The sequence below is a fragment of the Homo sapiens genome, chromosome 18 (assembly GCF_000001405.40).
Source record: "Homo sapiens chromosome 18, GRCh38.p14 Primary Assembly".
NCBI classification, from domain to species: Eukaryota; Metazoa; Chordata; class Mammalia; order Primates; family Hominidae; genus Homo; species Homo sapiens.
Window position 1 is genome coordinate 4,984,439 of NC_000018.10, and position 24,034 is coordinate 5,008,472.

At 41.9% G+C, this 24,034-nt stretch overlaps 1 pseudogene, besides 3 other annotated features; it reads right to left on the reverse strand.

Moving 5' to 3' along the window:
* Nucleotides 3,256–3,897: an enhancer, noted in NCBI's record as "OCT4-NANOG-H3K4me1 hESC enhancer chr18:4987693-4988334 (GRCh37/hg19 assembly coordinates)". NCBI's record gives its function as "activates a minimal SCP1, AML or CMV promoter by ChIP-STARR-seq in naive and primed H9 embryonic stem cells {active_cell/tissue: H9 hESC(naive and primed)}" and the evidence as "EXISTENCE:reporter gene assay evidence [ECO:0000049][PMID:30033119]".
* Nucleotides 3,898–4,537: an enhancer, noted in NCBI's record as "OCT4-NANOG-H3K4me1 hESC enhancer chr18:4988335-4988974 (GRCh37/hg19 assembly coordinates)". NCBI's record gives its function as "activates a minimal SCP1, AML or CMV promoter by ChIP-STARR-seq in primed H9 embryonic stem cells {active_cell/tissue: H9 hESC(primed)}" and the evidence as "EXISTENCE:reporter gene assay evidence [ECO:0000049][PMID:30033119]".
* PPIAP14 (peptidylprolyl isomerase A pseudogene 14) lies at nt 18,114–18,858 on the reverse strand (annotated as a pseudogene).
* Nucleotides 19,964–20,506: an enhancer, noted in NCBI's record as "OCT4-NANOG-H3K27ac hESC enhancer chr18:5004401-5004943 (GRCh37/hg19 assembly coordinates)". NCBI's record gives its function as "activates a minimal SCP1, AML or CMV promoter by ChIP-STARR-seq in naive H9 embryonic stem cells {active_cell/tissue: H9 hESC(naive)}" and the evidence as "EXISTENCE:reporter gene assay evidence [ECO:0000049][PMID:30033119]".

The following is a 24,034-nucleotide window of genomic DNA, read 5'->3' on the forward strand; positions in this document are numbered from 1 at the left end:
AGCCCAACAGCTTCTTAAGCTAATATGCAACTTCAGCAAAGTCTCCAGATACAAAACCAATGTGCAAACATCACTAGCATTTCTGTACACCAACATATTTAGGGGGAGGAATTCATTTGTGGTGTTGCATATGGCAATAGTTAATTGATCTCACTGTTACATGTCACTGTGTAAATATACCAAAATTCATTTACTTATTCTACTATAAATTGGCTTTTTTGTTTTTGACTCCACTTAGGAGCTGATGTGAACAGAGCTGCTACGGAACATTCTTCTATATGTCCTTTGGTGTCTATACAAACTTAGTATTGTTAGATGTATACCTAAGAGTGGAATTCCTGTGTGATTGTGTGTGCATAAGCCAAGTGATTTTCTAACATGGCTGCGAATATACACTTCCACCACTAGTGTACAAGAGTTGCATTTGCTCTGTATTACAAGTAGGATTCATGCATGCATATCCCCACTGTAGTTGACAGTATTTATTCTCCTACAAGCTCCCGTCTTATTTCTAAAGACTTTTCTTTTCTTAGGCATAAGTTAGGGACCATGTCCTCAAATGCCCCACTATGTGGGGACAGAGTAGCAGTGTGAATAAATATCAAGCTTCCAAATGGTTCCTTTGAATAGCCTCTCATTGTGCTTGAAGTGAAGAAAATACACCCCCACTTCTTCCCTTTGGAGAGAGGAAACTCACAGTACAACAATAGATTTCTCTATAAAAATGTTGGCAAAATATATATAACATAAAATTTGCTATTTTAACCATTTTAAGTGTAAAATTCAGTGGCATTAATCACATTGACAATGCTATGCAACCATCACTACTATCCATTTCTGGAACTTTTTCTTCATCCGAAACAGAAATTGTGTACATATTAAACAATAACTTTCATTACCCCGTCCCTACACCTGCTAACCACCACTCTTCTTTCTGTCCCCATGAATCAATACCTTTCTCTTGTCTTCCTCACTAAATTCTCTGCCTACATCTAAGAAGCCTACCTTTTTATGGCCTTACTACAGGTGAAATGCCAAACAGTCATGGAACACATTCTAGAATACTCTTCTGAATGTTTCCATCTTGGTCTGACACTTAACTTTGGGATTTCATTCTCTGTATATGTTCATGGCTCAATCAAAACTTTTAAACTTTTAAATTTTATGAAACTGTTTTACATGAGCATGCAGCATTGGTGAATTACTTTTTCCCTTTAATCATCTTTGACCTCTGACTGCATTTTTTTACTGTCCTTCTAAACAGTCAGAAATTTTTCACTGAAGAGTCGCCATTAGTTTTTCTTGCCATATGCAGCTGCTGAATGAACTTTCTGTTTTTGCTTTGACAATTTAGGTAGCAAAATGTTTCCCAATTTGAAAAATGTGAGTTTAATATATCTACTGTGCATCAATTGGACTGGGCTGAATTTAGCTGATGGCGTAGGAGTGCCTCAATAACTCAGCATTGCTATAAATGTATCATCCTGCTAAAGAACGTTCTTACGTATTTGCAAAGCTCTTTGGCCTCTACAGTAAATTGAAGATAATGAGAACTGGTAGTAAAGTATTAGAAATTTTCTCTTTGTGATGATACAGGTAGAAATTGCCCATAATTGTGATCTATTATCTATAATGAGTTTTTTGAAATCTCCTTATAATCAAAACAAATTATTTAACTCTCACAGGATGCTCCCAACTGGATAAAGAATACATATTCCCTTCTATAGAGTGTATCATCTGCCTATTATGAAGAAATATATATAGATTCATAAGTAATCTTCCAAAATTGTGCTGTCATTTCTTGGCCAGAACTTTACATTTTTCCAAAGCCAGGCTTAAACATGAAAGGGCCTCAAGAGACCTTTAATCTATGATTATTTCCAAGAAGCTGCTCAAACTCAGTGTAGAGAACTTTCCACTGTCTATATAATAGACAGTACCAGTTCTCAAAGAGCTTAAATAATCCCACAGACCAGCAATTATCTCACAAAAGTACAAGTAGTCATCACCTGCAGTAGAGAATTTGGTGCAGCAGAGAGCACTTCCCCGTATAAAAGTTTTCCTATGTAGGCTCTACATCAGAGGTCAGCAAACTTTATCCCTTAAGGCCCAGATGGTAAAATATTTGTGGACCATATAGGCTCTGTCACAACTATTCACCTTTGCCAGTGTAGTGCCAAAATGGTCATTGACAATATGAAAACAAATTGTCGTGGATCCTTGGGGTGTCAATTTGCCAGCCAGAAACCTCTGTGGCTAGTTGCACTTTTGCCCAAGCTTTGCTTGGGGCTGCTAGGCTTGTTCCACCCACTTGACCTGGCAGGTTGTGCTCGGCTTGCACTACTGGCCCAGATCCCATGCCTGCCAAGGACGAGCCAGGCACAGAGTGGTGAGGGGTGCATGAGTGAACGAGTGCAAGGTCTGGCCCGTGTACAGCCAGGCACACTGGCTGTGGTAGGGGGGGAAGCTCTAGCTGTCGGCATGGGCACCAGTTTCCTGTGAGGCTATGGCTGGGCCAGGCATACTGCTAGCAGCTTCCACTGCAGGCACTGGGGAATGCAGTGGTGCCTGGAAGCTTGGAGATGCCAGGAACCGCAGAGCCCCAAAAAGGGTGTCACAGCCCTGGCTTGGGGAGCTCCTAGGTCTGGGTTCCCTGAAGGGCTGCAGCTTTTCACTCCTTTTCTCTCTTTTCTCCTTCTTGTCACCCACAACATGGTGAGTTGGGGGTTGGGGGTTCAGCCCTATCTGTGTTACAGCTCTTTTAGTCCCACCATTCAGCAAGTCCCAAGTTCTTATCTTGTGTGCAGGAAGAATGAGATAAGCGGACAACTGGAGGGTTAGCAAGGTGAAGAGGGGTTTTATGGAGCGACAATACAGCTCTCAGGAAACCTGGAGTGGGTAGCTCCTTTCCACAGAGAGGATGTCTCATTGTCTCTTCAGCCCTCAGCAAAGAGGAAATCCAAACTGGGTAGCTCCTATCAGCAGTCAGGTCACCCCATCATCTGCCAAAGTCTGGCTGAGTCCGGGGTTTTTATGGGATTCAGAGGGGAGAAAGTGCATGCTGATTCGTCCATGGGTGACCATGGGTGGGCCTGGAAAAAGCACCATAAGTTCTCACTCTGGTCTGCAGAACAGGCACCCTGGCCCCTAGACATCAGGCTGTCCCTGGCTTGAAGGTGGGGGCTTCACTGGGGACCCATCCCTTTCCACCAAAGAGTCTGTCTGCCTCTTGCCACCATCAACCTGCCATCCACGGTGCTCAGGTTGTTCATGTGTAGGGTCACCTGCAGGCCTGTGCCAAGTCACTCTCAGCCCCCGACTTGGCCTCTCTTCCATTATTGTTAGTGCCCAAAGTCTGGAGGGGGCCAAGGCAGCAGAGGGCTGGTGTGTCAGCACCACCCTGAGTGCATGCCAGGTCATGAGAGTGCTCACGCTCAGCCTCAACTTTGCTCCAAAATCAGAGCAGGCACTGGGCGTGGGGAGAGGCCAGGCAACAGGAGCAGGCACTTCCAACCCTGCAGGGTCAGGGGGGCTTCCCAGGTTACCGACAGTGCAGGGATGCCTGAATCCACAGCTGTCACTAGACAGTTGCAGCTGCACCCAGGATGGTGGGGCTCCTGCCCCACCAACTTGGAAGGAGGAGGGACTTCTGTCTGTTTCCAGCTCCTGCTGGCTCCATAGAGTGCATAGCCTTGGCCAAGTCTCCCCCACTGCAGCTGGCATCTTTGTAGTGGCCACTCCAGATGGGCTGCCGCTGCCATCAATCCCCCCCCCTGAAGAGGTACAACTAACTGCTGTTAGGATAGGGACAATAACTGCTCTTAACTGCTTCATGCTGAGAGGGGCCATTGTTTTGGTGAATACGGGAGTCAGATCTCTCTCAGAGGTCTATCTAAGGGTCCTTAGTAAAAAACGGAGCCATTGTCTGAGCCTCTAATTGAATGATGCTTGGAGTTTGATAGCCTCTTGAGAATAAACAAATTTTAGAAGGAGGCTAAGTATACATCTACCAAATAGGAGTGTTATACAAAAAGGAGCTAAAAGGAAAAAAATAGACTATTCTGATAACAATGTTGTGGCTAGAGCTGTTACACCCCGGTGGAAAAAAGTGAATCTGGTATGGGGGCAGTTAAACTTTAATAGAGAAATAATTGTTTAGGGGTGTAGATAATTCCTTGGGAGTTCAGGATTAAGGAGTCCTTGACAAAGATGCTTTATAATGAGGAACAGAACAAAGGCGAGAACAGTAAGGAAGAGGTCTTCTCAACTACACCTGAGGGGTTAGAAACAATATTGGGTTAAAGGTTTTCCTGAGATGTCCCCCAGAGTCGTGCTAAGAGAGGAGGCAGGGGGCTGAATTGGAGAGGAGAAATGAAAGGCTCACTCCAATTTCCAGGAGGAGGTCCACCTTCCTCTCTTCAACTTCTAAACCACTGGAGCTGGGGAGAGGAGCGTCGGGACCCATTAATCCTGCTGGATCATTTGGGCTGGGCCAGGAGTCCTATGTCTCCAGAGACAGTCTGCCCTCCAGTGATCCCCACTGCATATTGGACAGCATCAAGGTGGTTTCCTCCTGCTGTCCAGACAGTCCTTCCTAAACTGCCCTGGCTTGCCACATTTGTAGCGGTTATCAAGTGTATCCAGTGACTCTGGGGTTTGTGAGCATGTGAAGTGGCTATTAGAGCCTCTGCCTTTTTCTTGTGTCTCCTTTTCCTGTCTTGGGCCTCCTTCTAATCTGTATTGTAAAATACCAAGGTGACCACTTTCAGGAGGTTCTCTAAAGCACTATCTGGTCAAATGGCCTGTCTCTGCAGCTTCCTCCTGATATCAGGGGCTGCAAGAGTAATAAATTTATCCTTTAGAATTAGTTTTCCTTCGACTGAATCAGGAGATAGAGAGGTGTGCTTTACCAAGGCCTCTCTTAGCCTTTCTAAGAAGGCAGTGGGATTCTCTTCTAATCCATGGTCTATCATGGATAGTTTGGAGTAATTGATTGGCTTAGTCCTAGTTCTCCATAAGCCCTCCAGTACACACATCTGAAAGTGCTTCCTCTTCCATTCTCCCATTTCATCATTGGGGTCCCATTTAGGGTCCTCCAATGGTACTGCTATTCTTCCAATTGGATAAAGCTCATCCCCTTCCCTGGCACTAAATAAGATCCAAAGTTCATCTCCAAAATTCTCTGCCACTGTACAGCAGCCTGCTTTACAGCAGTACTGAGGATCCGATTCAAAAGTAACATAACGTTCTTCCAGGAGAGTTCAAATACTTGGATTAATTTCTGGAAAGCATCTATATACTTATCAGGGTCATCTGAAAACTTTCCAAGATCCCCCTTAATTTGCTTTAAGTCCTGTGGAGAAAAGGGGACCCAGACCTTAATGGGGCCATATTCACCAGGCCTCTGTTGTAGGGGCAGGAATGAGACTGGGACCTGCCTAAAATGAGGATTTCTAGGATGGGGCAAGCTTGAGAGAGAACCTACATAAGTAGGAGTGGAGGGAGAGTTGATTCCCCCACTGGAGGTACTTCTGGGGTTTGCTTCCCAAGTTCCCCGGGATTGCACCTTGCAACCTCTCCTGAGATGGCTGCTAGGAGGACTGAATCAATCTGACAATCTTGGCAATTTATACTCCTGCAAGGGAAAGACAGCCTGCACATATGGGACCTTGGACCATTTGCCCTCATGTTTACAGAAAAGGTCCAGCTGCAGGATGGTATTGAAATTAATGCTTCCTTCCTGAGGCCATGTTTCTCCTTCCTACAGAAAATAATTCAGCCACACCTTTGGGCAAAAGAATATGAGATACTTTTTCTCCAGAGACTGAGAGTCAAAGGAGCCACAGTGATTCAGAATACACTCTAGAAGAGCGTAGGCTGAAGACGATTTGTTACCCATCTAGAGGAGAGGACAGAAGAGGAAAAATGCATTTTTCCCTCTCTCCAGAGTCTGAAGGTCAAAGCAGTCCCAGTGATTCAGGATTCACTCAAAAGCAGTGCAGGCTGAAGATGATTGGTTGCCCATTTGGAAAAGAAGACAGAGGCAGAAAAAGGTGCTTTTTCTCTCTCCAGAGTTGGAGGGTCAAAGGGGTCCCAATGATTCAGGATGCATTAGAGAGGAGTGCTGGCTGAAGATTGTTGGTTACCCATATGGAAAGAGGGAAAAGTCATTCCTTTGTTCATTTTTCTTTCCAGCAAATACCAGGGGTACATGATGAAGACAAAAAAAGGCATCCCCTTCTTTCTCCTGACCTTATATCCACGAGTCCTGGTGACCTTTGCAGGTGCTGACCACAGGTGAAAGTGCAACCTTCACCCATGAAGCAGAAAGGCATAGCCAGCAGGAATGTTAGCACTCACCTACTCGATGCCTAAGCCTCCAACTGTAAGTAACCTTTGAGTTTCCTAGACCTTATCTATGCCATGGATGTGAGCATAACCTCCATCTATGAAGCAGGAGGGCCTAATTGGAAGGAATTAGTCATGCTCACCTGTGCTGTGCCCCTAGACTTCCCCTGTCATCTGCCTCTGTATCTCTCAGATCTAATTTTCCTTTCTAGGGCATCAAACCAAAGCTTAGGACAAAAGGGTGCCTTGGGAGAGTGTAGGGACCCATTAAATTAGGCCCAGATGGCCCTTGAAAAATTGCAGCCAGCAACCAGTGGGGCTGCTCCTCCATTGCTTCCCTATCATAAGAAGGTGAAGCTGTAGGACCAGGTCCTCCTCAAACAAGGGAGAGAAAGGGAGTCCGAGGAATTGGGGACCTGGCCTAACAAGATGCCTCCCAAGAGGAAAAAATCATTAGAAAATCTCCCTGTATTTGCAGGACTTTATTGACTCAACATGGTGAAGGAAAGAGAAAAGAAACAACTTAAGCACAAGGGAGGGGAAGGTGCTTGGAGGAAAAGCCTCTTGCCCTATGCAAATGGGTTTCTTCAACATGGGAAAGAGAAGTCTCAATTGTTATATCCTCCTTGATTCTAAGAAGAGACAGACACCAAATTGTTCTAATTTACATTCCTGATGACCAAGCCAAATACTCATTCTACCCAGTAATATTATCTCTGTGGTTTGCAACAACACCCTTAACATTGTATATAAAGAAGATCTAGGAGCCAAGGAAGGAAGGAAGGAAGGAAGGGAGGGAGGGAGGTGGGGGGGTGGAGAAAGAGAGAGAGGGAGGGAGAGAGAGAGAAAGAAAGAGAAAGAAAATAAAGAAAAAGAAAGAAAGAGAGAGAAAGAAAGAAAGAAAGAAAGACAGAAAGAAAGAAAAGAAAGAAAAGGAAAGACTGGAGGTCCTAGTGCTGACACTCTAACTGGCAGTTGGGAACTGGAGTTAGTCCAGGGGCCTTTGGATAACACCAAGTTGTAACCTTAACCATATACTCTCAGTTGCCCCAGGACCTTTTTCTGATCCCACTTGACAACTAGACCTTTCTGAAGGGAAACTGGATTAGAACAAAGCCAACATTCCCAACGCCTAAGGTGATGGGGGATTGACAGTGTCCTCTTCAGCAAACCTGTCCTCTGTATCTTAAGTCCAGCAGCCACATGAGTTGCTTTTAACTGGCTGGCAGAGGTGTGGTAGTTTGCTTTCATTTTGGCTATTGTGGAGTTTAGGGACTCTTAAAAAAGGACAGAAAGCAGCAAATCCACTTTTACTCACCCTTCCACAGATCCTGGATGAGCCCCCCAAAATGCCACAGGATCTTTGTGGTGTCACTTTTTCAGCTGGAAACCTTTGTGGCCAGTGATGTCTTTGTCTGAGTTTTGCTTGGGCCTACTGGGCTCATTCTGCCCACTCGGCCTGGCAGGCTGTGCTCAGCTCACGCTTCTGGCCTGGATCCCATGCCTGTCAAGGGCAAGCCAGGCACAAAGCAGTACATGAGTGAGTGAGTGTGGGGTCCAGACACTGTGTACAGCCAGGCACGGTGGCTGTCACAGGGCAGGCAGCTCCAGAAGCCAGGTCAGGTGCTGCTTCCTTGCAAGGCTGTGCTGGACAAGGTGTATTGCAAGTGGCTTCCACTGTGGGCACCAGGGAATGTGGTGGTGCCTGGAAGCTTGGAGATGCTAGTAACTGCTGCCTGGAAGCTTGGAGATGCTAGTAACTGCAGAGCCCCAAAGAGAGTGTCATAGCCTTGGCTCAAGGAGCTCCTAGGTCTGGGCTTCCCAAAGGGCTACAGCTCTTCTCTCCTTGTATTTTCTCTCCTTCTTGTCACCTGCAATGTGGTGAGTTGTGGGGGGGGATGCGTGTTTCAGTCCTCTGTGTGTTATAGCTCTTTTAGTCCCACCATTTGGCAAGTCCAGAGTTCTTGTCCTGCATCCAAGAAGAATGACATATGCAGAAAACTAGAGGGTGAGCAAGGCAAGGAGTTTATTTAGTGACAGTACAGCTCCTAGGAGACCCAAAGTTGGTAACTCTTATTTACCTGCAGATCATCCCATCCTCTGCCCAAGTCTGGCTGAGTCTGGGGTTTTTATGAGCTTCAGAGGGGAGGAAGTGCATGCTGATTGATCCATGGGCAGTGATGGGCAGGCCTGGAAAAAGCACAAGTTCTCACTCCAGTTTGCTCCGCAGAACTGACAGCCCCAGCCCAGCCCCTAGGCTTCAAGCCATCCCTGGCTTGAAGGTGGGGCTTCACCAGGGACCCACCTCCTTCTGCCTAGGAGCCTGTCTGCCTTTTGCCACCATCAACCTGCTGTCCATGGTGCTCAGGCTGTTTGTGCCAAGGGGCACCTGAAGCCCTGTGTTGAGCCACCCTCAGGTCCTGACTTGGTCTCTCTTCTATGCTCACCAGCACCCAAAGTCTGGAGGGGGCCAAGGCAGCAGGGGCTGGTGTGCCAGCAGCACCCTGAGTATGTGCACATCTGGCCAGGTTATGACAGCACCCAGGCTCGACTTCAACTTTGCTCTGAAATCTAAGTGGGTGCTGGGAGCAGGGAGAGGCCAGGCAGTGGGAGCAGGCACTTCTGAACCTGCAGGGGCAAGAGGCTTCCAGGGCCCCCAAGAGTGCAGGGATGCTTGGGTCTGCAACCATGGCTGAGTGGCTATAGCTGTGACATTGAGGCTGGGGTTCTAGCCCCACCAACGTAGAAGGGGGTGGGACTTTTTCCTGTTCCTTCTCCGTCAGACTTCATGGAATGCACAGCCCTGGCCTTGCCTTCCCCACTGCAGTTGGCATCTTTGCAGTGGCCACTCTAAACAGGCCACCTCTGCTGCCATAAAAATGCTACAGTAAATTTGTTACAGTGAAACTTTATTTGTATAACAATAAAACTTTACACAAACAGACAGTAGGCATGATTTTGTTCACCATCCACAGTTTACCAATACTTGCTCTACATAGTCTTGAACTTAAAATTGGTTATTCATACCTTTGCATTACAAATTATCCTTTGCATACATTTAAAATGTAGCTATGTCTGTAAAAACTCACACATCCCAAATTCCTCTGTATGATGTTGCAGACCCCACCCCATATTCATTCCGTCTGAATTATTCTCTAGCTACTTCAGTTTCTGGTAAGCTGATAGCAACCTATTTTAAGCGCCTGAATCTTTCTTCTTTTGTGAATGACGATTTCTCCAGAACTAGGTAGATATAAGAGTGTTAATCCCTCCAGAGCAAACTTCAGCCATTGGAAGATGGGAGTCGGAGGGTAAGTGGAAGCCTCTCTGTCCCCAGAGAGATAACTGTGAGCCATGCTCCATATGGTGTCTCAGAACATCCCAAATAGGATTAAGCTCCAGTTGCCTAAAGCAAAATCAGTTCATTACACACAATTTATTGGCATTTTTTTCTTTCCTTGTCTCTCTTTCTCATTTGTGCTTCCTGGAATCACTTCCCAAATCAACTGCTTGCGGTTATATTCTTGCCTAGAAGCAAGTGGGGTGCATGCAAACAGTGAAAACCTGATGAGTGAGAAGGAAGAGAAATTCTGACAGTGGGTAGATGGCACTAAAATGGATGGTGGCACATAAAAGACATAATGTGAGGTGTTGAAACAAGCCATTTAGTCCAAAGATATAGCTCAAACTCCCAATTTGCCACTTATTGTATAATTATCTGACTTTCAGCAAGTTACCTAAGCTCACTGAAGCTTTGTTTTCTCATATGAAATATTGGAAAAGTTCTCTCCTTATGTTTTTTTAATAAATATTTTTTAACTGTTTTAGACTCTCTGAAAAATTGTGATGATAGCACAGAATTTACATATTCTCAGTACCCAGTTTTTGCTATTATTTGTATCTTAGATTAGTATGATACGTTTGTTACAATTAATGAGCCTGTATTGAATCATTGTTATTTACTGATGTCCATTCTGTATTCAGATTTTCTTAGTTTTTACCTCACATCCTTTTACTGTTCCAGGATCCCATCCAGTCTAGCATATTTGTCCTATGTCCTTAGGCTCTTCTTGCTGTGGTAAATCCTTACACTTCCCCTGTTTTTGATTACCTTGACAATTTTGAGAACACTCGTCAGCTATTTTGTAGAATGTTCCTCCATTGGGATTTGTTTGATATTTTTCTCACGGTTAGACTACGGTTATGAGTTTCTGAAGGAAGATCACAGAGGTAAAGTACCATTTTCATTCCATCACACCAAGGGTAGTAGATATCAGTATGATTTTCAAAGTTCATGTTGACCTTAATCACCTAGCTGAGGAAGTGCTTGCCAGGGCTCTACACTATAAAGGCAACCTTTCCCCTCTATCAATACTGTACTCTTAGGAAGAAAGTCACAATGCATAGCTCACACTTAAAGAGTGAAGAGTTTTGAGCTACCTCCTTGAGGGTGAGACATAAATTAATTGAAATTCTTTTTTTGTCTGAGAGATTTGTCTCTTCTCTTCCCATTTATTTATTAATCTTATTTATTTATATTACTAAAGATTTGTGGATATTTATATTATATGTGGGGTTCAAACCCAATTCTACATTATTTATGTTGTTGCTCAAATTGTTTCAATTTGGTGAGTGAAAACTCTTGGATCCTGTGCTCTTTGATACATCCCCCATCAAAGTGAGTTTTTCTAAAGCACTTCCTTACTTTCTTACGCTACAAGATGACTTAGCCTGTATAATTCTTGTCCCAATCCAGTCACCTATTTCTCCAAGAATCCCTGACTCCTTTAATTGAGAATGTTATTAGAAGCCAAGGTCTGGGTGCCAGGTGTGCTCACTATGTTGTTCTAAGTCTTGAGTGAGATAAAAATAAAGAGCCCCAACATGAGACTCACAGGAACTACTAACAAACTTTAGTTAAACGTTCATTTTGACTAGCTCCAGCCCTGATAAGAATAGTCCTTAATAAAGTCTCACTTTATTTCTGAAATAATAAGGAATTAGTGTTATAAGGCCCTTTGTCTACTTCAGGGAAAGAGAAGCTGAAAAGGCAACTTGGAAGACTACACTTGTGCAGAATTGGCTTCCCTCAGAGAGAGTTTAGCATCCTTGGATCCCCCATGCCATTCTTGATTATTCATGTTTCATAAAGTCCTTTTCATTATTCCAAGATTATGATTATATTTACCCAATATATACTCTGAGATCTCCACCATTTTATCATGAGTTATTATTTTCATACACTCATAGATAAAAAGAATAAAATTTTAAAATCAAATGACATAGATTTCCCACTTCAGAAATTAGACAAAGAAAGGAAATTATGACCAAAGTAAGTAAAAAGGAGGACATAATGAGAGAAGAACAGTAATAAACGAAATGGAAAATGGACAAAGAATAGGAAAAACTAACATGTTAAAAGTTGGGTTCTCTTTGAAAAGGTTGATAAAAATGGCAACACCATAATAAGACTGATGAAGAATAAAAGATCAAGAAAAATTACAGATTACTGGTATAAGAATAAAATAGGGAATAATATCACAGATAACACAGAAAAAAATGATAACAAGAAAATCTTTTTAACAACATAAGGCCAATAAATTCAACAACTTAGATGAAATAGATAAATTTCTTGTCAATTACAACTTATAAAAATTGATATGTGGAGAAACAGAATATATGATTAACCTTATATTTAGTAAATAATGGAAGTCGGCCAGGCCCAGTGGCTCACACCTGTAATCCCAGCACTTTGGGAGGCTGAGGCGGGTGGATCACAAGGTTGGAAGAGTGAGACCACCCTGGCCAACATGGTGAAACCCTGTCTCTATTAAAAATACAAAAACTAGCCAGGCGTAGTGGTGTGTGCCTGTAGTCCCAACTACTCAGGAGGCTGAGGCAGGAGAATCCCTTGAACCCAGGAGGCAGAGGTTGCAGTGAGTTGAGATTGTGCCACTGCACTCCAGTCTGGGTGACAGAGTGAGACTCCATCTCAAAAAAATAAAAATAAATAAAATTAAATTAAAAATAATGGAAGTCATAATTAAAGCTTTCCCACAAAGAAAACTTCATGCCCACATAGCTTCACTGGTAAATTCTATCAAACATTTATGAAGAAGAAATAATATGGATCTTACACAAATTCGTTAGAAGAATACAAAAGGAACACCTCACAATTTATTTTATGAGGTCAGCGTAATCCTTCTATCAAATCAAATCCAGTGTGTTTTATTACAACATGACCAAGTAGTATTTACCTGAAGAATGTGAGGTTGGTTTAAGATTTGAAAATAATTCAATATAATTTACTACATTAAAGAACAAAGTCACACAATCCTTACTTTAAAAGAACAAATTCTCATCAAAGAAACAATACCCTTACATTATACTTACTGGGAAAGCATGAAAAGTTTTTCACTTGAAAATCAGAAACAAGACAAGTATGTTTACATTCATAACTTCTAAGCAACTGTATTGGAGGTCCTAGTTAGTGAAAGAAGGCAAAGAGCAAATCACAAGAAGCCTAAAGATTAAAAAAGGAACAAGTAAAGCTGTCTCTATTAATAAACACCATTTTTCATATGGAAAATGCAATGGAATCTACAAACAACTAGTAAAACAAGTAAATAAATTTAGTAAGGTCTAGCTGGGCGCGGTGGCTTACGCCTGTAATTCCCAGCACTTTGGGAGGCCGAGGCAGGTGGATCATGAGGTCAGAAGATCGAGACCATCCTGGCTAACACAGTGAAACCCCGTCTCTACTAAAAGTAGAAAAAAAATTAGCCGGGCGTGGTGGCGGGCGCCTGTAGTCCCAGCTACTCAGGAGGCTGAGGTAGGAGAATGGTGTGAACCTGGGAGGTGGAGCTTGCAGTGAGCCGCGATTGTGCCACTGCACTCCAGCCTGGGCGACAGAGGGAGACTGCATTTCAAAAATAAATAAATAAAAATAAATTTAGTAAGGTCTTAGAATGCAAGGTCAACATACAAAAAAGCAATTGTATTTCTAGACATTAGTAACAAACAATAGAAAAATGAAATTCTAAAAGCACTGCCATTTAAAATAGTATCAAGAAAACACAAAATAGTAATACATTTAATAAAAGGTAGTCAATACCTCTACACTGAAAACTATCAAAAACCTCTAAAAGAAAAATTTACTAAATGAAAAGATATAGTGTGTTTATAGATTGTAAGATACTATTTTGTTAAGATGCTAAACTAGGACAAGGATCAGAACACTATTTCTATAGATTCAGACTGTATGTATTTCAAGATTTATGGACCACACAATCTCTGTTGTAACTACTCAACATTTCAGTTATAAGACCAATCAACCACAGACAATGTAAAGATTGATGAGCATGACTGTGTTTTAATAAAATTTTATTTAAAAAAAAGATTGCCGGTCACATTAGCTTGGAGGCCATAGTTTGCCAAATTATAATTTAGAATATTAACTTGGTTTATATTAAATACTATTTTGTTAATGCTAGTATTAATAACATGAATATATTAATGTTAATTTAGAATATGTAAGGAACTCCTATAAATCGGTTTTAAAATACGAACAACCCTTTAATAAAATGGGTACAGACTTAACTAGACACTTTACTAGCGAAGATATACAAATGGCCAACACATAATACACAAAGGAAATAAATGGCCAACACATGAAAAGTTTTTCAATGCTTTGCTTTAACACAAATAAATTAAGTTCTACTTTCTTGAGAATAAATAGTGTAGCCCTTTGGTTAGTTTAATCCACAGAGAAAGCACTTTGATTTTGATTAAGAGATGTAGTCTCCCTTCTCACTACAGAGCTATTTATGATAATACTGGATGGGAGATGATTGGAGCCCCCATGTTAGTGAAGACGGACTCCCCAGCACTATTGCAGCAGGGTCAGAATTCAAGGTACTACAGATGCTTTTCCTTAAAATCTAGTCATCAGTTTTGTTGAAACTATCTGTGACTTTTAAAAAATACATTTCTGCACTAAAAATGGCAGTAATATTCAAACTAGCAATCTCACTACTGGGTATCTGTCCAAAGGAAAATAAACCATTTTATCAAAAAGACACCTGTAACGGGGCAAAGCAAACTGGCGGAACAGGACCCTACATAGTTAGTTCTCTGCTGGAACATCAAAGTTTAACAACTATCTGCACACAGAAAATTGCCATCACAAGAACCAAAAATCAGGTGAGCAATCATAATATCTGGTTTTAATTTCATATCACAAAAAGGGACATTGAAGAGGGTAGGAGAGACAGTCTTGAATCACTGATACCCCCCCTCCTTCATCCCCAGCAGCAGCTGTGTAGCTAAGAGAGAGGAACTTTGCAATTTGTGGAGGGAGAGTGCAGTGACTGAGGAACTTTACATTGAACTCAGTGGTTCCCTGTCACAGTAGAGAATAAAGCTGTACTGGGCTCAGCCAGCACCTTCACATGGAGGGAGCATTTGGACCAGCCCTAGCCAGAGGAAAATTGCCCATCCCAGCAGTTAGAACTTGAGTTTCTCAGCAAGCCTCGCCACCACAGACTGAAGTGTTCTGGGGTCCTAGGTAAACTTGAAGGGCAGTCCAGGATACCAGGAGTGCAATTTCTAGGCAACTTCTAGTACTAGGCTGTGCTTAGAACCAGTGGACTAGCACATGACCTAGGGAGACACCAGCTGGTGTGGCTAAGGCAGTGTTTGCACAATCTCTCCCTGAACCCCAATCAATGCAGCTTGCAGCAACAAATGTGACACCTTCCTTCTGCTTAAGGAGAGGAAAGTGAAAAGTAACAAAGTCTTGCATCTTAGGAACCAGCTCAGACATGGTAGGATGGGGCAGCAAACAGAGTCATGAGGCCCTAGGTCTTGAACAACATTCCCAGACACACCCTGGGCTAAAAGGGAACTGCTTCCTTGAAGGGAAGGACCATTCCTGGCAGAATTCATTACCTGTGATGAATGATATGGCTCTATGTCTCACCCAAATCACATGTAGGATTGTAATTCCCAATGTTGGGGGAGGGACCTAGTGGGAGGTGATTGGATCATGGGGGCATATTTCTTCCTTGCTGTTCTTGTGATAGTGAGTTCTTGTGAGATCTGGTTGTTTAAAGGTATGTAGCACTTCTCCCTCACTTTCTCTCTCCTACTCTGCCATGGTAAGACGTGCTTCTTTCCCTAAGCCTTCTGCCATGATTATAAGTTTCCTGAGGCCTCCCAGCCATATTTCTTGTTCAGCCTGTGGAACTGTGAGTCAATTAAACATCTTTTCTTCATAAATTACCCAGCCTCAGGTAGTTCTCTATAATGGTGTGAGAATGGACTAAAGCACCTGCTGACTCAAGAACCCTTGGGTGCTGAATAACCAGCAGAAATACCCAGAAAGCACATCATGGGCCTTGGGATCTGAGACATGCTACCTCAGAGTTTACCAAGCACTTTTCCAGCTGTGGTGGCTATGATGAAAGACTCCTGTTTGAGAAAAGTACAGGTAAAAATAAAGGGAACATTGTCTTGTATCTTTAACACCAGTTTGACCACAGTAGGGCAAAGCAACAAGAAGGCTCTTGGAATCCCTAAGTCCAGCCCTAAGTTCCTGGACAGAATTTCTAGAACTACCTTTGGCCAGAAGAGAGCCCACTTCCCTGAAGGGTAAGCTCCAGGCCTACCAGCATTCACCACAAGCTTACAAAAGAGCCCTTGGGATTTAAGTGAACATCAACGGTGGCCTGGCAGAACCCCCATGGACTGGTGGTGGTGGTGACCACAGGGAGAGGCTCCTCTGCCTGAGTAAAGGGGAGGGAAGAGTGGGAAGGACTCTGTATTGTGGTGTGAGTGTCAGCTTAGTTGCAGCAGAATATAACATTAAGTAAACTGCTAAGGTGTTTGACTTCAATTCCTGGCTCCCAGACAGCATCTCCGGACATGCCTGGTGACTGGAAGAACTTGCCACCCTGAAGGGAATGGACTTGGGCAAGACTCAGTGTTGTGCTGACTTTAGGTCTGACCCAGCATGGTCCCCGTGGTGCTGGCCACAGGGGTGCTTGCATCACCACATCCCCAGCTCCAGGTATCTCAGCACACACACACACACACACACACACACACACAGAGCCTCCATTTATTTGGGAGAAACCAAGGGAAAAGAACAAGAGTCTGCGGGTAATCAAAATAGTTCTTCCAGATCTTATTCAAAACCACCAGAGTGGTGCTTCCATGAGTCTAAAAAAACTACAGCAGTATTAGGCTTGGGGCCTATGTTCTTTTGAATACCTAGAAAGTCTTTCCAAGGACAGGTACAAACAAGCACAGACTGTGAAAACTACAGTAAATACCTAACTCTTTAATGTCCAGACACTGATGAACATCTACAAGCATTAACACTATTCAGGAAAACATCTCACCAAATGAACTAAATAAGGCACCAGGGACCAACCCCAGAGGATCAGAGATATATGATCCTTCAGACAGATAATTCAAAATAGCTATTTTGAGAAAACTGAATAAATAGCTATTTTGAGGAAACTCAAGAAAATTCAAGATAACACAGAGAAGAAATTCAGAATTCATAGAATTAATTAGATTTATTAATAATAAATGATTTGTTAATGATTAATTAATGATAGAATTAGTGATTACATTAATTCTATCAGATACATTTAACAAAGAGATTAAAATAATTAAAAAGAATCCAGCAAAAGTAACAACCACCATTGCCATTGGTAGTGTTAATTACCATTGTTAACTAGAAAGACTAAATGATAAACCAATCAAAAATAATGACTACAAAGACTTTTCAAGATGTACGCAGTACAATCAGACATAAAGAGAAACAACAACAAGTTAAAAAGTGGGGGATGAAGTCAAAGTGTAGAGTTTTTTTAGTTTTCTTTCTGCATACTTGTTTGTATATGCAATCAGTGTTGTCATCAGTTTAAAATGATAAGTTATAAGATAGTATTTGCAAGGCTCATCGTAACCTCAAATCTAAAAACATACAATGGATACACAAAAAGTAAAAAGCAAGAAATTAAAGAATACTACCAGAGAAAATCATGTTCACTAAGAAAGACAAGAAGGAAATAAAGAAGGATAGGACCACAAAAGAACCAGAAAACAAATTTTAAAATAGTAGAAAGAAGTCCCTAGTAGTCAATAATATTGAATGTAAATGCACTAAACTCTCCAATCAAAAGACATAGAGTGACTGAATGGATTAAAAAAAATAAGATTAAATGATCTGTTGCCAATAAGAAATAGAGTTCACTTATAAGGACACATATAGACTGAAAAAAAGAGATAAAAAAAGATATTTCATGCCAATGGAAACCAAAAAAGAGCAGAAGTAGCTATCCTTATTTCAGACAAAATAGATTTCAAGACAAAAGCTGTAAGAGACAAGGAGGTCACTTTATAATAATAAAGGAGTCAATTCAGCAAGTGGATATAATGATTGTAAATATATATGCACCCACTACTAAAGCACATGATATATAAAGCAAATATTATTAGAGCTAAAGAGAGAGATAAACCCCAATACAATAATGGCTGGAGACTTCAACACCCCACTTACAGCTTTGGACAGATCTCCCAGACAGCAAATCAGCAAAGAAACATCAGACGTACTCTATACTACAGACCAAATTAATCTAACAGATATTTTCAGAACATTTTATCCAGTGGCTGCAAAATACACATTCTTTTCCACAGCACATGGATCATTCTTAAGAATAGACTATATGTTAGGTAAAAAAAAGTCTTTTTTGTTGTTATTTAGTTTTTATTTCATAACCATAAACTTAACTCTGCAATCCAGCTAGGCATGGAAGGGAACATGGAACCCAAAGGGAACTGCAGTGAGAGCACACAAATTATAGGATACTGTGAGCAAATGCGGTGGAGGAGTGCTCTCCTAAGCTACAGAAGGAATGGTCTGGTGGTTAAGATAAAACACAAGTCAAACTTATTAGAATTGTCCACAGTCAGCAATGGTAATCTTCTTGCTGGTCTAGCCATTCCTGGACCCAAAGTGCTCCATGGCCTCTACAATAGTCATGCCTTCTTTCACCTTGCCAAAGACCACATGCTTGCCATCCAACCACTCAGTCTTGGCAGGGCAGATGAAAAACTGGGAACCATGTGTGTTGGGTTCAGCATTTTCCATGGACAAGATGCCAGGACCTGTGTGCTTTAGGATGAAGTTTTCATCATCAAATTTCTCCCCGTAGATGAACTTGCCACCAGGGCCATTATGGTATGTAGAAATAAGTGACACATAAACCCTGACACATAAACCCTGGAATAATTCTGTGAAGGCAAGAACCATTATAACCAAATCCTTTCTCTCCAGTGCTCAGAGCATGAAAGTTTTCTGCTGTCTTCAGAAACTTGTCTGCAAGCAACTCAAAGCAGACATGGCCCAAAGGCTTACCGTTGATGGCGATGTCAAAGAACATGGTGGGTTGACCATGGCTAAGGCACAGGGCTCCCAGTGGCAGCTGCATCTGCAAAGTAAAAAAAACAAAGTCTTAAAACATTCGAAAAATTGAAATATCAAGTATTTCCCTGATCACAATGGAATAAAACTAAAAATCAATCAAGAATTTTGGAAACTATACAAACACATGAAAATTAAAAACTATGCTCCTAAATTGATCAGTGGGCCAATGAAGAAATTGAGAAGGAAATTGAACATTTTCTTGAAACAAATAATAATGGAAACACAACATATCAAAACATATGAGATATAGCAAGAGTAGTACTAGGAGGGAGCTGTATGTGCCTACATCAAAAAAGAAAATCAGAACATCAAATAAATAACCTAAGGATGCATCTTAAAGAACTGGGAAAGCAAGAGCAAATCAAACTTAAAGCTAGGAGAAGAAAAGAAATAATAATGATCAAAACAGTAATAAATTACTTTGAAATGAAGAAAACAAGACAAAAGATCAGTGAAAAAAAAGGTGAATTTTTGAAAAGATAAACAAAATTGACAAATCTTTAGCCAGACTAATTAAGAAAAAAAAGAGAGAAGACCCAAATAAATAAAATCAAAGATAAAAATAGAGATATTACAACTGATAACACAGCAATTCAAAGGATCATTAGTGGCTGCTATGAACAATTATATGCCAATAAATTAGAAAATCTAGAAAAAAATGAGTAAATTCCTAGACACATGCAACTTACCTAGATTGAACCATGAAGAAATCCAAAACCTGAACAGACCAAAGACAAGTAATGAGATCAAAGCCGTAACAAAAACTCTCCCAGTTAAAAAAAAAAAAAAAGCCCCAGACCCCAATATCTTCACTGCTGAATTCTACTAAAAGTTTAAAGAACTAATACCGGGGGGGAGGAGCCAAGATGGCCAAATAGGAAGAGCTCTGGTCTACAGCTCACAGCATGAGCAACGCAGAAAACGGTGATTTCTGCATTTCCATCTGAGGTACCGGGTTCATCTCACTAGGGAGCGCCACACAGTGGGCGCAGGTCAGTGGGTGCGCGCACCGTGCGCGAGCCGAAGCAGGGCAAGGCATTGCCTCACTTGGGAAGCGCAAGGGGTCAGGGAGTTCCCTTTCCGAGTCAAAGAAAGGGGTGACTGATGGCACCTGGAAAATCGGGTCACTCCCACCCGAATACTGCGCTTTTCCGACGGGCTTAAAAAACGCCGCACCACGAGATTATATCCCACACCTGGCTTGGAGGGTCCCACGCCCACGGAGTCTGGCTGATTGCTAGCACAGCAGTCTGAGATCAAACTGCAAGGCGGCAGCGAGGCTGGGGGAGGGGCGCCCGTCATTGCCCAGGCTTGATTAGGTAAACAAAGCAGCCGGGAAGCTCAAACTGGGTGGAGCCCACCACAGTTCAAGGAGGCCAGCCTGCCTCTGTAGGCTCCACCTCTGGGGGCAGGGCACAGACAAACAAAAAGACAGCAGTAACCTCTGCAGACTTAAATGTCCCTGTCTGACAGCTTTGAAGAGAGCAGTGGTTCTCCCAGCACGCAGCTGGAGATCTGAGAACGGGCAGACTGCCTCCTCAAGTGGGTCCCTGACCCCTGAGCAGCCTAACTGGGAGGCACCACCCAGCAGGGGCACACTGACACCTCACACGGCAGGGTATTCCAACAGACCTGCAGCTGAGGGTCCTGTCTGTTAGAAGGAAAACTAACAAACAGAAAGGACATCCACACCAAAAACCCATCTGTACATCATCATCATCAAAGACCAAAAGTAGATAAAACCACAAAGATGGGGAAAAAACAGAACAGAAAAACTGGAAACTCTAAAAAGCAGAGCGCCTCTCCTCGTCCAAAGGAACTCAGTACCTCACCAGCAACAGAACAAAGCTGGATGGAGAATGACTTTGACGAGCTGAGAGAAGAAGGCTTCAAACGATCAAATTACTCTGAGCTACGGGAGGACATTCAAACCAAAGGCAAAGAAGTTGAAAACTTTGAAAAAAATTTAGAAGAATGTATAACTAGAATAACCAATACAGAGAAGTGCTTAAAGGAGCTGATGGAGTTGAAAACCAAGGCTCGAGAACTACGTGAAGAATGCAGAAGCCTCAGGAGCCGATGCGATCAACTGGAAGAAAGGGTATCAGCGATGGAAGATGAAATGAATGAAATGAAGCAAGAAGGGAAGTTTAGAGAAAAAAGAATCAAAAGAAATGAGCAAAGCCTCCAAGAAATATAGGACTATGTGAAAAGACCAAATCTACGTCTGATTGGTGTGCCTGAAAGTGATGGGGAGAATGGAACCAAGTTGGAAAACACTCTGCAGGATATTATCTAGGAGAACTTCCCCAATCTAGCAAGGCAGGCCAACGTTCAGATTCAGGAAATACAGAGAACGCCACAAAGATACTCCTCGAGAAGAGCAACTCCAAGACACATAATTGTCAGATTCACCAAAGTTGAAATGAAGGAAAAAATGTTAAGGGTAGCCAGAGAGAAATGTCGGGTTACCCTCAAAGGGAAGCCCATCAGACTAACAGCGGATCTGTCGGCAGAAACCCTACAAGCCAGAAGAGAGTGGGGGCCAATATTCAACATTCTTAAAGAAAAGAATTTTCAACCCAGAATTTCATATCCAGCCAAACTAAGCTTCATAAGTGAAGGAGAAATAAAATACTTTATAGACAAGCAAATGCTGAGAGATTTTCTCACCACCAGGCCTGCCCTAAAAGAGCTCCTGAAGGAAGCACTAAACATGGAAAGGAACAACTGGTACCAGCTGCTGCAAAATCATGCCAAAATGTAAAGACCATCAAGACTAGGAAGAAACTGCATCAACTAACGAGCAAAATAACCAGCTAACATCATAATGACAGGATCAAATTCACACATAACAATATTAACTTTAAATGTAAATGGATTAAATGCTCCAATTAAAAGACACAGACTGGCAAATTGGATAAAGAGTCAAGACCCATCAGTGTGCTGTATTCAGGAAACCCATCTCATGTGCAGAGACACACATAGGCTCACAATAAAAGGATGGAGGAAGATCTACCAAGCAAATGGAAAACAAAAAAAGGCAGACGTTGCAATCCTAGTCTCTGATAAAACAGACTTTAAACCAACAAAGATCAAAAGAGACAAAGAAGGCCATTACATAATGGTAAAGGGATCAATTCAACAAGAAGAGCTAACTATCCTAAATATACATGCACTCAATACAGGAGCACCAAGATTCATAAAGCAAGTCCTGAGTGACCTACAAAGAGACTTAGACTCCCACACATTAATAATGGGAGACTTTAACACCCCACTGTCAACATTAGACAGATCCACGAGACAGAAAGTCAACAAGGATACCCAGGAATTGAACTCAGCTCTGCACCAAGTGGACCTAATAGACATCTACAGAACTCTCCACCCCAAATCAACAGAATATACATTTTTTTCAGCACCACACCACACCTATTCCAAAATTTAACACATACTTGGAAGTAAAGCTCTCCTCAGCAAACGTAAAAGAACAGAGATTATAACAAACGATCTCTCAGACCACAGTGCAATCAAACTAGAACTCAGGATTAAGAATCTCACTCAAAACCGCTCAACTACATGGAAACTGAACAACCTGCTCCTGAATGACTACTGGGTACATAACAAAATGAAGGCAGAAATAAAGATGTTCTTTGAAACCAACGAGAACAAAGACACAACATACCAGAATCTCTGGGACGCATTCAAAGCAGTGTGTAGAGGGAAATTTATAGGACTAAATGCCCACAAGAGAAAGCAGGAAAGATCCAAAATTGACACCCTAACATCACAGTTAAAAGAACTAGAAACGCAAGAGCAAACACATTCAAAAGCTAGCAGAAGGCAAGAAATAACTAAAATCAGAGCAGAACTGAAGGAAATAGAGACACAAAAAACCCTTCAAAAGATCCATGAATCCAGGAGCTGGTTTTTTGAAAGGATCAACAAAATTGATAGACCGCTAGCAAGACTAATAAAGAAAAAAAGAGAGAAGAATAGACGCAATAAAAAATGATAAAGGGGATATCACCACCGATCCCACAGAAATACAAACTACCATCAGAGAATACTACAAACACCTCTACGCAAATAAACTAGAAAATCTAGAAGAAATGGATAAATTCCTCGACACATACACTCTCCCAAGACTAAACCAGGAAGAAGTTGAATCTCTGAATAGACCAATAACAGAAGCTGAAATTGTGGCAATAATCAATAGCTTACCAACCAAAAAGAGTCCAGGACCAGATGGATTCACAGCTGAATTCTACCAGAGGTACAAGGAGGAACTGGTACCATTCCTTCTGAAACTATTCCAATCAATAGAAAAAGAGGGAATCCTCCCTAACTCATTTTATGAGGCCAGCATCATTCTGATACCAAAGCCGGGCAGAGACACAACCAAAAAAGAGAATTTTAGACCAATATCCTTGATGAACATTGATGCAAAAATTCTCAATAAAATACTGGCAAAATGAATCCAGCAGCACATCAAAAAGCTTATCCACCATGATCAAGTGGGCTTCATCCCTGGGATGCAAGGCTGGTTCAATATACACAAATCAATAAATGTAATCCAGCATATAAACAGAGCCAAAGACAAAAACCACATGATTATCTCAATAGATGCAGAAAAAGCCTTTGACAAAATTCAACAACCCTTCATGCTAAAAACTCTCAATAAATTAGGTATTGATGGGACGTATTTCAAAATAATAAGAGCTATCTATGACAAACCCACAGCCAATATCATACTGAATGGGCAAAAACTGGAAGCATTCCCTTTGAAAACTGGCACAAGACAGGGATGCCCTCTCTCACCACTCCTATTCAACATAGTGTTGGAAGTTCTGGCCTGGGCAATTAGGCAGGAGAAGGAAATAAAGGGTATTCAATTAGGAAAAGAGGAAGTCAACTTGTCCCTGTTTGCAGACGACATGATTGTATATCTAGAAAACCCCATTGTCTCAGCCCAAAATCTCCTTAAGCTGATAAGCAACTTCAGCAAAGTCTCAGGATACAAAATCAATGTACAAAAATCACAAGCATTCTTATACACCAGCAACAGACAAACAGAGAGCCAAATCATGAGTGAACTCCCATTCACAATTGCTTCAAAGAGAATAAAATACCTAGGAATCCAACTTACAAGGGATGTGAAGGACCTCTTCAAGGAGAACTGCAAACCAC